This window comes from Homo sapiens, chromosome X, assembly GCF_000001405.40.
Source record: "Homo sapiens chromosome X, GRCh38.p14 Primary Assembly".
NCBI classification, from domain to species: Eukaryota; Metazoa; Chordata; class Mammalia; order Primates; family Hominidae; genus Homo; species Homo sapiens.
In genome coordinates, this window is record NC_000023.11 from 33,010,989 (window position 1) to 33,025,732 (window position 14,744).

A 14,744-nucleotide genomic window follows, 5' to 3' on the forward strand; every position below is an offset into this window, starting at 1 on the left:
AGGTAATTCCAATGCGTTTTGCTGCATCGTTTTGGAGTGTGCATGGTATCAAACAACTCTACAAAAATGGTAGCCTGCTTGCTTTTCCATTTTAGGTCTCTATGTCTATTGCCAAATGTAAAGGGTAGACTTCAGACCAAATTTTGCATGAAGCATTAGTGGTGGTGGGGCAGTCTAATTCTTCTATCATTGCCTGTTGTTTTAGAGCTTCACAGTCTTCAATCAGAAGTTGCAAATTAACATGACTAAGCCATTATCTTATTGTTGGCTCAACCAGCCCCACAACAATATAATTCTTCAAGAATGGCATTATATGCCCTCTCACAACCTCTCTTCTTCACTCCTAAAGATCTCCCTTGCTACTACTCACCTGACAAGTCATACTTCTTTGATTATTACACATTTCTACATGCAATTCCTTCTGCCTTCATCTTTCTTGAAATTGTCTCTGCGTAGACAACACCAGACTAAATGTCACCATATTTTAAAAAGCTATTATCCTCTCCAAGCAATTAGTCATTCTGTCTTCTATGTTCCCACAGCATTTCTATTGCATTAAAGATTATGTTTTATTTTAATTATTTGTTGATGCAATTGTTTCCTTTCTCAGATGATAATCTCTTGGAGAGGGAAAACCATGTTGGGTTATGCCTTCATCACTGTATGACAGTATGATTAGCACATAGCTGGCATTCAATAAGTATTTGTTAAATGTTGAAAGGTTATTTTAGTAAACATATATCTCTGATAGGATGGTACCAGAGTGTCAATTGTTCTTTTCTAAATAAAAATGCTTCACTAATGTCCATGTATGTTGTTTTGCTAGAAAGCAAAATAAAATCAGATAAATAATGGATAGGCCCATCAGCCATAAAGAATTGGTTTTTTTGCTAGCAACTATCATGCTAATTGGTAAATATTTACATATGCAAGCTAAATATGCTTGGCACTGAGACCACTCCAGAGAATATAGGTGTAATCAATAATTCCAATTTTCTTGTATCAGGACATGATAACCTAGAGACCAAAACATTTACCTTCTAAAAGGAATTGTCAAGATCTCAGTAACACTGGGTTGATAAACAGCAACATATTTCTAAGAAACTTCTTTACTATTAACAATAAGTGATTTGTCTTTCTTTGAAAACAGTGAGACCTATCACAATCCATTTTTGTCTCACTAACTGAGTAATATCCTTTGTTACTTAGGTACTTTGCAAAGATTGTTTCAGGAAAACATTCAAGGGAATGGTTCTCAGTAGATTAAACCATTTAGTATAATCATCTTGATTCCAAACACAAACACATCATTCGACAAGTCATCTTAACACCAAGTGTAGATGTTAGGGAGTTCACATGCCAGTAAAGTGGTATTTTGAATTTCGTATAAAACTGTTTTAAGTTAATATTCAAATAATCATGTAAACACAATAATTTGTTTATGAGTAGTAGAAATAAAAAGCAATGTTTGAAAATGACAATATCACTTTAGATAACTCTACTGCAAACTAAGTTTACTTCACTCACCAAAACGCAGTATGTAAAAAATATTAACATTTAAAGTACAAACAGTTCTCGACTTAAGATATTTTGACCTTATAATAGTGTAAGGTGATACTCATTTAGTAGAAACCGTATTTTGAGTACCCATACATGCATTCTGTTTTTCACTTTCAGTACAGTATTCAATCAATTACATGAGCTAGCTTTATTATAAAATAGGTTTGTGTGAAATGATTTTGCCCAGCTCTAGGATAGTGTTAAGCCAGCACATTTAAAGTAGGGTAGGCTAAGCTATGTTGTTTCGAAGGTTAGGTATATTAAAGGCATTTTTGACTTGTGATATTTTCAACTTATGATGGGTTTATAGGGACCTAACCACACAAGTTGAGGGGCATTTGTATTAGAAATCATTCAGAAAGAATCAACTAAAAAACTTCCTAAACAATGGTTGCATTTTGGGGTTACTAAACATTCAAAGGTAGATTAAATCCTCTGTGAGTAAGCGAGCATTTAATACCACCTGTTATTGAGTCTTCACTGTCTCCAACCCCCCTGCCTGCTTCTCATAGGACTTATCAATTTGATGATTTGTCCCAAAAATGCATTATTGGGTAGGTGGAATTTTTGTCCCAACAATAATAGGTATGGAAATATCATGAGTTTTAGAGTCCATTTTCTTGGGTCCTAGCTTCATCTCTCCTATTTACTGTGAGCAAGCCACATAAATTCACATTTTACTCATCTTGAATACTTGTATCATATGATTATTGGAGCAACTAACCATATACATATAATTTTCAGTAGGATTATTAACATCATGGTATACATAAACAAAAAGTTCCCAATCCTCACTATTTCTGAAACGAGGATTTCCGTAAGTTTCCTGTATCAATATTCATCTCTCCAAAATAATTGCACTAAATAATTCAATTGTTACCAAAGTCTTGTGCAGGCTGCTCATCAGCATCCAGAGACATAGTTCACTGTACGTCATCTGCTCTAATGATTTAATTCTTCCTATTATCAGATAAAAACAAACAGGAAGCCAGGGGCACAGGAGCCATTTTAGATCTATGTAAAACCTTCCATGGCACAATAGCTCTGCTCGATTACTTCTGTTAAAGCAGGCACATTGCACAATAGTTATATATAAATGTGTTAGCTATATACAGATTTAGAATTCACTTACACAATGGAAAGGTACATATATATTGTTACCTCCTTCACTGAAATAATGTTTTGCCACTTTGTCCCAGTATCATCCTTTTTTAAAAACTTCTAAGCTCATTTTAAATATAGAATATGTTTACTGGGTGTGTGTATATGTATGTGTGTGTGTGTGTGCGCGCACGCGCGTGTGTGTGTTTGTGTGTACGTGTTGAGGACATGAATTGGCATACAGAGTGTAATAGGATAGTAACACATGAATAAATGCTCTGTTTTCCCTGTTTGATGCCAAGAAGGTAGCCAAAACCATAATCAATAAAGAAATGAACAAGTATCCAGAGGAAAATCACCCTTCAAAAACTTTAGTTCTGAAAATCTAGATTCATGTTAAGGATTGATATATTGTCCCAACTGAACAGGCTATTGGGATATGGGAGTTAAGATTCGGGGACAGTGGAAATTTGCAATCAGTCAGATTAAAGAGAGGTTTAATGAGCTTCCTCAAACACAGGGAAAGGGATGAAGTTGTGAAGGCCAACATCCTACTCCCTTTACAGAGTTTCCAAATGTTGTGCTGAGACAACCTACTTAAATGGCTGTAGAGGCCAGATACCAAGCACAGAGCATCATCAGCAAAACCTTCCGTGTTCAAGCAAGGCAGGGCATTGTGGACAAGCTGTCCTTTATGTAGTCATGTTTACTTGGCTATTAAGCATATCAGCTATGACCAAAATGCACTGAAAACCAGGACACTTACAGTATTCTGGACTCTACCTGGCCCTTTGGAATGGAAGTGGGAAGAAGTAGAAGAATGCAAAATGTTACGGAGATTGAATTTCTCACCAGTCAGATTGTTGGGGTTACTAGTTGCTGCAGGAACAGATTCAACCAATGTAGAGAAACAAGGAAATATGGCTTATTACAAACTAGGTTATAGAATCAAAATTCATGTGCATTTCAATAGCATCATGAAATTATGGAGTTAGGAACACAATGATTACAATTAAAATATCATGTTCTCAAGAAGACCAGGTAACATCATGGAAAAGAATAGAAGTAAATAAGAAGGAGAGATTCAGTAGAAAAAAATTCATAAATATATGCATTTTTCAATTCAATTCAGAAAATACATTACATAATGACAAAAATGGGAATATTTTGTGTTTATATGATTTACTATTTATAATGCCCTTTTATTATATGTTTTGTTACAAGTAGGCAAGAACATATAAGAAAAATAAGACTCAGAGAATTTCAATTTTATATTCACCTTTCTTTTCAAATAAATTAAAGTATGGATATAACGTTTTCTCCTAAGGTAGAGAGTAGTGTGAAGAAGCCTGCTTTATCAAAAAATAACGTGCTGGTGGGGCTGCGGAGAAAATGGAACACTTATACACTGTTGGTGGGAGAGTAAATGAGTTAAACCATTGTGGAAGTCAGTGTAGTGATTCCTCAAAGAGCTAAAAACAGAACTACCATTCAACCTAGCAATCCCATTACTGGGCATGTACCCAGAGAAATATAAATCATTCTATTATAAGACACGCATACATATGTTCATTGCAGCACTATTTACAATAGCAAAGACGTGGAATCAACTCAAATGCCCGTCAATGATAGACTGGACCAAGAAAATGTGGTACATATACACCATGGAATACTATGTAGCCATAAGAAAGAATGAGATCATGTCCTTTGCAGGGACATGGATGGAGTTGGAGGCCATTATCCTTAGCAAAATGATGCAGGAACAGAAAACCAAGTACTGCATGTTCTCACTTATAGGTGGGAGCTAAATGATGAGAACACACGGACACATAGAGGGGAACAACACACACTGGAGCTTATCGGAAGGTGGAGGGTGGGAGGAGGGAGAGGATCAGGAAAAATAATTAATGGGTACTAGGCCTAATATCTGGGTGATGAAATAATCTGTACAACCAACCCCCGTGACACAAGTTTACCTATATAACAAACCTGCACATGTACCCCTGAACTTAAAATAAAAGTTAAAAAAAGAAAGGCTACCTTACTGACTCAAAAGTTTAGTGTTAATTTACCCTACATCATGCTTATCATGCTGGCTAAAAGGTAAATTAAAAAGAAATCTTGCAAGAAGTATGTCATATCAATTTATTTTATCACATGATATTGCCCAAAGAGGGTGAGTCCTGGATTTTTAATGTGGACATATATGTTGCGGCAATGAAGAGGTAAATGAACTATTGTGGCAGGCCAGGTCTCACTAATGCAGGCCTCCACAACAACTGTTTCAGCACTGACTGAGTGGTAAAGTTACATATTAAAAGCTGATAGAGCCAGCGCCCTTAAACAAAGGCTGGACGGTAACAAAAGCCCACCAAGAGTTTTGCCCAGGCCTTTCCTGGGCCTTGAAGCATGACAAGATAATGAAGGAATTCTTAACAGGACCCTTTTAGAATTAAAAAAGCTTTATTGGGGGTCTGAAGAAACTCCCCAGGACTCCACAAACAAGTTTACTGGGCATCTGAAGGAACTCCCCCAAACTCCATGATTTAGCCGGAGATAAGATAAGGGTAATCATCCCAGCACCTGGACCCATTTAGATAAAGTAAATTTACTGAGGCTCCAGAGGAATGTCTTCAGGAATCAGATCTTAGTTACAGATCAGAAGAAGTTAATCATTTATGTCTTTAGATGGATACACACTTACATGTAGACATACAGCGTAGAAGGTATATAAGCTCTGGAAAACTTTATAGTTTTGAGTTGGTCTGGGGATAATTTCCAGGTCTTCTCCCTGTAACCACTTACAGAAATAAAAACTCTCTCCTTTTCCCGTTCATCTGCATCTCGTTATTGGGCCACAAGAATAAGCAGCCCAATCCTCAGTTTGGTCCAGGAACACTATCATATCATGGGCTTTTGTGAAGACATTAGACAAAACTAATTATGCATTTCTACTTCATTTAAGTCAAACATGCATACTATGTTGGAAAAAAATCAGACAGAAGAGTGAGTATGGAAATAAAGATGATTACTAAATTCAGTATAGGATCAAAACCATCATATCACTCATTGGGAGATAGTTTATCTCTCTCAATTGAGCTGGCAGTAAATATTTTTTCCCATAAAATTTTTTCTCAAACACAAACATCAAGCACATTTTATGACAAAATTATTTTTGGTCATGTTTTCAAAACTGTACTTCCCTTTATTAAGCCGGCATGGATGAGCAAGATTTTTATAATGCGAATCATATTTGTCATAGAGTATACACGAGGCTTTTTAAAGGATTATAACATATCAATAAATTACATGGAAAGAATATTTACTCTGAATTAATCTTATCTAGAAATGGTTTTGTGTTTATGTGGAGATAAATATTGTTCAGTTATCTCTATATAATAGATGTGATAAATCACATTCTAGTAGAATTTTTTGGAATCAAAGTTAATAGAAGACTTATTTTAAAAAGAGATAGGGCTTATTTTTAAAATGGTACCAGGAAAGTGGAAAATCAGTTAGATTTACTGCAAAGACACATTTGGCTTCAAATGACGCCACAACAACAAGGATACATTTAATCACATTTATTTCCTTTAAATATCCCTTCCGTAGCTTTACAAAATAACAAGGAAATATTTTGTTGTCTCTCTATAATTTACAAATATTATATAAATGTGTGTATAAAAGGCAATGAAAAATTATCATCTGTCTGTGTGGTAAAGTAGACACAGATAGACATTAATACGACTATAAAAATGAATATGAGTTAGATTTATTAGTGAGGCATTTTTATAGTTGTATGAATGTGTGTGTGCCTGTGTCTAATTTACCACACAGACAGAATTTTTCATTCTCTTTTTTCTCTTTTTAAAGTCTTCTTCAACACAATTTTTCCACCCAGTTTTTCTTCTGTTTCTACAGTTAGCATAGATTTAATGATTTGTACTACTGACCTAGTATATTTATTATATTTATATAGTGTACTAGTAATAAACAATGAGATTATATAGAAGATATACATTCCTGCCTTTGATGGGCTCACATTTTAGAGCTTTCTTCATAAAGGTTACCAGATTCCCTCTAGCTCAGATTACTGCCTTCTCAGACCACCCACACTGAGCCCACTCAGTTCTAACTCCATTTATCAATTAACCAAAAACTCCCAAATAACTGTGTAGGTTCCATGAGTTCAGGAGATTCCACTTCAACTAATCTGTGTATCCTACAGGGCTAGAATTCTGCTGAAAGGCATGCAGCGATGCAATAAATTGCCAAATGATATATATATCACAATTATGTTTATCTTTTGGTTTCACCAAGTGGCTTAAACTGAATCAACTAGCTTCCTCTAAATTCCCATCTTCTTCAAAAGTGTCTAAAAGAATGCAGTCACTTAGCTAAGTTTTGACAGAAAAGAATAAGAAAAGAGGAAAAAGATTCTTTGCAAGTTCTCAAAATTAGAAGTTAGTGCACAGGTATATATACATTTTACCTTTAAATAAGTTTTCTCCTCTGTCTTTGTAAACTTTTATTTCTATTCCTGACACCTAGGATATGCTTGATAATAGAATTTCTGTACTTGAAAGAATGGTGACTCTCCTGATCAGTTATAACAGACTTAGGGAGAACATTTGTAATATAAATGAAAAGTGTGAGTTGAGTTAGAGGATGCAAATATTTTGGAAGAAAACAATAAATGTGCTCATATATGTGAATATTTTACAGTTTTAAGATATGGGCATTCATAAGGACAGAAAAAAATATACCGAATTGCTCTGAGGCAGTGCTAACAATATATAAATAGAGGATGGATTGGATATCAAGCTTTGATTTCTATATTAACAGGTGAGTTGTGATAAATGATAATGGAAAAGGTTAATGCACAGAGCGAAGATCTATTTCAACTTGCGGGAATGAGGATACACAGTACTTGTCATGTTTACACACCTTTTAAAAATTACTCTAGTTCAATTCAAAGATTCAGAGTATTGTTACATTTACTATTTCAGAAAATTTCTTCACAATTCTGATTTGTCTGTATGTTTGTTTGAAAATATGTCTCTTGTCTGCTTCAGAATTCCAAAACTTAAAAATGTCAATGATGCCAGTATATACAGCAATTAAACTATATATAACCATCTTATAAATATTCGGAGAATTATGAATAACTTTCCTAAATATCCTAGGTTTACTTTTTATTTATTCTTCTATATTTGTGTTGTTATATTTTATTTCACTTAGCTAAAAAAAGTTGAGGATTTAAAAAACGTTTTTAAAATACATGTTTCTGTTTACGTCTGTAATAGAAATTTGTTAATTATTCAGCAAGTAAATAAAATGAACTTTTATTAGTTAAAATTCAGTAAGTTAAATTAAAGAGTACATGGCAACATTCTACTACCAAATACCACAAAGAATAGACGATATTCTAAAAATGTTTGTCATAGAAAAGGGAGAACTTTTGAGATTGGATCTCCTAGTGGATTGTTTTGGCTCCATTATCATGAATTTTACAAAATCAGACCCATAGAGGGAGTAATTCATAGCTATTAAGAGTTTCAGGCATTTTAGTAGAAATTTTCACTTTTAGTGACTCTTTAAATCATTACAATAAGAAACAAAATATCCACTATCAAAACTATGCCACTCTTAAAGCCTTGGGTTTAAGGGCCATATTTTATTAGCTTTATTTTTCCATTATCTAGATTTGATGTCTCAATTAAGCAATCAATATATACATATACAAACATTCATGATGGAAACATAAGAAAACCGACTCACCAAACATTTGATTGATTTACCCAAATCGAGAATAATAATTAAAATGCAAGTCTTTTAAACTTTGACATCCCAATAAACCTCCATATATTGCATTCCTAATACTAGTTTTCAAGGTAAGAATATCTTGCTCTGTGTCCACCTATAATCATCTAGAGTCACGCTATTGATTAAAAATTGAGTTGTATTTGCAAATTAAGTAAATATTAAGAGTATGGATTGAAGCCTGCACAAAAACAAGATGAACTTATTGTCTTTAATCATTTGAAATATGCTCTAAACTATAGTGGCTGAATACACCCAAAGCAATTATATTGCTTTTCTTGAACTTGGTAAAGACCAAGAGGGACAAAAAAATGATAATTTTCACAACAAAATTCCCTCATATCTTCTTCTGCTGGGTGACATATTCTAGCTACTTGATGGAAGATTGCAGCTATAAACTCTGAGGACTCATGTCATTAAAGAAACTCACATTGTCAAGAAGAATCAAAGATATACATTTTATATAATTAAATAGTGTATCTTTGCCATATCTTCTGCTGCTTACTCCTTAAATAAGAGTGAACATAATATTTCCAGATTTGCACAGCTAAAATAAAATGACACTATGAGAGAAATAAAACGGATTTTTAAGATACACAGGTACATAGTCCATTTTGAAAATTTCACAACTTAGATCTTAAAAGTAAAGTAACAAACCATTCTTACCTTAGAAAATTGTGCATTTACCCATTTTGTGAATGTTTTCTTTTGAACATCTTCTCTTTCATCTAAAATGCAAAATAAAAAAATAAAAGTTAGGAAGCAACTTTAAATATAATTCATATTTTACAACCAAAGTAACTTTCCATTATGATGTGTTAGTGTTTTTTTACATTTAGTATTACATTCATTGATAAATGGAATTAAACATGAGTGATGCTGGTTTGGGGCATCCAAATTAAAATTACTTCTGAAAAATGGCCAGGCGCGGTGGCTCACGCCTGTGATCCCAACAGTTTGGGAGGCCAGTGAGGACGGATCACTTGAGGCCAGTAGTTTGAGACCAGCCAGGCCAACATGGCGAAACCCCATCTCTACTGAAAATACAAAAATTAGCCAGGCATGGTGGCATGCACCTGTAATCCCAGCTACTTGGGAGGCTGAGGCAGGAGAATCATTTGAATCCAGGAGGTGGAGGTTGCAGTGAGCCGAGATCATGGCACTGCACTCCAGCGTGGGCGACAGAGCAAGATCCCGCCTCAGATTTGTAATATCTGAAAAACAATTAATATGACCAAACCCATAGTCGTTCAAATACTGTATGATTATAAAAAAATAGTCTCCTCTGAATAACAGTATTTATTCGCCAGTTATGAATAGATACTCCAGTATAATTAAAAGAAACTCTCAGCTGTCATTTACTCCGAAAAACTATTTCGGAGCCTTTCCCCATGCCATCCACCCAACCATGGAGAAATGATTATTCCTTCCTTTGCAGCATCTACATACTCTAACATGGGCCTGATCTCACTATGGAAGAGGTTTCCTGATGAGCAGGAGCATGGTTTAGTTATCTTTGCTTCCCAGAACTTAGCACACTGTCTGAACAAATTAAGAGCTCAGAAAATACATCTGACAAATACGTGCATGCTTTAAGGAAGGGGAGATTCTACAACTCTAAAATTTCTAGGACCTCTTTTCATCTAAAAGTCAGAACATTTCAAATAAAAATGCAAATGATACTCTTCATGCCTTACATATAAATACTCAAAGAAAAAAGTCCCCAAAGATTTATACTAAGGGATTAGGGAGAAAAATTATTAAAAAACAGCTTCACTGAATTCATGCTTCTACAAATGATCTTTTTGCCCCTAAACTGGAAATTAGTATTAAGTCAAATGGACAGAAAAATCATCAATCTTGATATATTAAAATGTTTTTCTCCAAGCAAAAGACTATTTTTTTAATTATTGTAAATATAATCATATTAGTTAATGTTCAGTAAATGAATGCATCTGAGAGATATTTAAAATTGATAAATTTTATATTTTATCTACTTGGATTAAAAGAACCGTTATTAAAATGCCCTTTACAAAGTAATCATATTTGCTCTCATATATTTTTCAGTAGTAAATCTCCGTTGCTTCTCTTAAAAACATAAGGAATCACTTTCGCATAACAAATATATGCATGCACCAAAAATATCTGTTTATCTTTAAATCACAATACTAATCTATAAGTAGATTCCTTTAGTCAATATGAGAAATAACAGTGAATAAATAAATTTCAAACTGTCATCTTAGGTGAGAAATTTTATTTAGCATTACAAAATACATTTTTCTTATTTAATTATGTTATTCACACAAGCTTCTATATGTATGTTCAATATCAACATTATTCATATGGTATATGATAAATCTTAGCTACAATATGGAAGTATTTCCTTTGTTGACAAGGGTGAATAAATAAAAACAGATAGTAATAGTTTTCAAACCTATTCTAGCCTCCTTCAAATCTTTACTTTCATAAAATTAATACTAGCCCTTCCAAAATAATTTTAAAAAGAAATGGAACATTTCAAATGGTCAAAATTAAACCATCTTCATAGACTTTATGGAGGAAGATTGGTCAACGCATCATTTATCAGTAGTATATACATATATTCCTAAAAGTAAATGACCTTATTTGCAATTCCACTTATATTTCCTACATGTGCATGCGTACTTTCTGTCAGAAAGCAGAGAGTAAATGAGTCAGTTGAAAGCATACATTCAGATGTCTTTGAAACATACCCAAAACCCTCTGCCAAAAGCTCAATATGAGGTCTTTTGAAGTGATTTAATCTAGAGGCTTTTAAGTGAAAAATACGTAGTAGAATAAAATTTTTATTCTTTTCAATTATATGGACAAGGAGTAATTTTTAGGTAAGCATCGAAGGCAGCACGAAAACCTTGACATTATGTGCAAAGTGTTACTTATTTACTGTGTAAATAACACTAAATGTGAGCTTCAACATATAAACATCTTTGCTAGTTGTCCTCTCTCACCTCTACGTCTTTAATACAAGAAAAATGTCTTCAATGAATTATTGTCTTATTTTGGTATAGTAGCATATATTTTCTTCAACATAATAATTATTAATACAATTAATTGTATTATTATTATAAAATACATAACAATTCTTAGTGCCTTACTATTCATAAGTTTGTTTTAATTATGTCTTCTCAATCTGTATGTAATTTACTACTTTATACATAAACACAAGCTGAGAAGGAATAAAGCTATTAAGTGACAGAAATGAACTTGATACAGATTTTCTGAATCAAAGTCCATGGCTTTTCACATTGACCAGATATCTATCATTTACATTATAATTGCATAATTAACAATACAGAATACCATAAGATAATCAGAGTCACAAAAGGTGAACATATTAACGCAAATGCAAAACAACCATGAAATCAGAGCTTCTATTTTGAACAACTCAAGGAGGTTCCATGTATGTTGTAACCTATGTGAATAGCGTCCTGGAATTTGGCAATGCATAACTTATTTGTCTGTATGAACTGATCTAGAACTGAATAATGAGCCTTCTTTAATGGTGCTGGATGATATGGTTGTTAATACTTCAAATAATAATGCTTTTACATTTACTAATTGATATTTGGTATTTCAATTTTCGTCTTATATATCATTATGGAAACATTTTAACATCCAAAAATCAATCAAAATTTTTGTGTCCACACTTTTAAATTCCCCATAAATACATATTTCTTATAACCAAAATAATATTCTTTCTTTTTCACTTATTTTATCATAAATCTCATATAAGCTGCTCTTTCCTTTTGTTTGCTATTAGAGACTAAATCACAATAAACATGCTCATGCACTCACTTCTTTTTTGTTTTTATAATTGTCTTCGAAAAAATTATCAGTTCAACATTATGAAAACCTTTATGACTTTTGCTAAATATCTTTATAATACTTTCCAAGTGATCACACCCACTTCTACTGGTAGCAGAAAGAATGAGGTTGGGAATTATCATCTCAGCCGCAGGTATGTCATTCATAGGAGTTTCGTTGCTTTAGTCTTTTACGGTATTGCTGCTTTGTTTAGATGTAAGGAGATCCTTGATGTTTGCTTTAATCATAATTAATTTGATTACTAATGAAGTAGAAGATGTTTCATGCATTTATTTATTCTGTATGTTCCTATTTTTGTCAAAATACTTGTTTACATCCTGGCTCATTTATCTATTGAGCATTTAATATTTTAAAATTAATTGGAATGAGATAATTATATATTGGTAATTCTTAAACATTTCAAGTCATGGGCTCCATTTGATTATCTGATGAAAATAATGAACCTTCTCTATAGAAAAATGTCTACACATACATATTTGCATATAGTTTCATAGAGTTCACTGACCTCCTTGCAGAAAACTCCTATAACCATAAAATCCAAGTTAACGATCAAAATTAAGCTACTCACTTTTAGTCAGTGAATGGACATATTTTCCCAAGTGGTCATATGCCTTTTAATTTTTATTTTAGTATGCTAAAATTTTATACGTATTTACTTGAATTGATATATTTTTATTGCTATTTGTCATATTGCTTAAAAGTTGACTATTTTAAGCTGTATACCCTTAGTTAACCTAAAGCCACCATACATACACATCACACATATATAAATTGTTCTAGAAACTATTTTGATACGTTAACATGATGTCTATTTCTGTAGTCACATAGTCTATAGTAAAACATATTAATGTGCAATCAGCAACAAAGCAAATGAGAAAAGAATAAAGTGATAGCTGTTTTATTACAAAATGATTATATGCTCCTGTTTAGTCATTTCAAGCAGCACATATTCTATTTCATTTCCTTTAGGGTTTGTTTATAACTGATTTTATTTTACTAATAAAAACATGCATGTGCATATTAATAAGAGAGGCAAAGAAGAAAATCTCTCTTAGGAAAATTTACTTGAAAACTGTTCCCTGGAGATGTCAAGAAGTGAAGAACCACTACTTCATAAATTGCAAAAACTGACCAACGTTTTATTTTATTCTCTCTACGGGGAAATCCCATATAAAATTAGCTTTCTAACATGACATAAAAATTGTATTTCCTCTCAGTAATCTTTAACCCCTTCTAATAAAGTTATTTTTATTCAGTATATGTGGCCTTTCATATTTTTTAAGATTAGTACAATGAACTTTTACCCTGTTATTAACTTTTATATTCCTTAGTCCCTCAGGAATATAAATGTGGGATATATTAAATTGCAATATTCTTGATTCACAAGAGCAAGTTACTGCAGAAGAATGATACTGGGCAAACTGAGGGAACATTAAATCTGTGGAACTGGCTTCCAGTGGCTTTGCAGGACTTATTAGAATTGTGGCCTTAAAATTGCCAAGCCTTAGCGTCTTTAACTGTGAAATGAGAATATTAATTGCTCTTTAACTCATGGAGCTATTGACAGGATATAATGAGATCATTTACTCGTGTAATAATTTATAAAATAAATATTTACAGAATGCTTACTATGACCTGGACATTGCACTAGTTACTGAAAATATAAACAAGATTCAGTCTGGGAGAGCTCTTAGCCTAGTAGATAATAGACACATCATAGATAAATATGAAACATTTTGCATAAACAAAAATATATATAAATTTAAAGCGTATTATAGGAGCATGGAGAAAGGAATATGTAGCCACATGGGTGTTAGAAAAGATATTTTGGAGAAGGTAATGGGTAGGTTGAGTTCAGAAGGATGAGAGAAAGTAAAGAAGGAATAAAGGTAGGAGGAGGATAAAGATGAATCTCACTGAGCAGACAGTAAGGACAAGGACAGAGTGATAAGAAACTGAAAGTACACGCTCATTCATTATGCAATTCTGTTTTGTTGCACTCTAAAATGTGAGAAAGGGAGTGGCATGGAATGAAATTGCAATGAGAGTTAGGAGCGAGATGCTGGAGAGCCTCCTTAAGACCTCTTCTCTGCCATCAGATAAACAATGTAAGTGAAAGCATTTAAAAACTGGGGGAAAAAAAAAAACAGAAAAACAGTTCTATAAACACTAACAATTATTCCCATTACACAAAGCAATTAACCATAATCTGTACAAGAAAATAAAATTTTTTTGACACAAGGTCTCGCTCTGTTCCCCAGGCTGGAGTGCATTGGAACCATCACAGCTCACTGTAACTTCAGACCCCTGGGCTCAAGCAATTCTCTCACCTCTGCCTCCTCAGTAGCTAGGACTCTAGGCACACATCACCACATCTGTCTAATTTTTAATTTTTT

At 33.2% G+C, this 14,744-nt stretch overlaps 1 protein-coding gene across 17 annotated transcripts in view; it reads right to left on the minus strand.

Annotated features, from left to right (window-relative positions):
* The window catches only part of DMD (dystrophin), a 2,220,167-nt gene that overhangs the window by 1,891,767 nt on the left and 313,656 nt on the right, over positions 1-14,744 (minus strand). For all 17 annotated transcript variants that reach the window (XM_006724469.4, NM_000109.4, XM_011545467.2 and 14 more), the window contains 1 exon segment: positions 9,151-9,212. In XM_006724469.4, the coding sequence (XP_006724532.1) occupies positions 9,151-9,212 (62 nt within the window).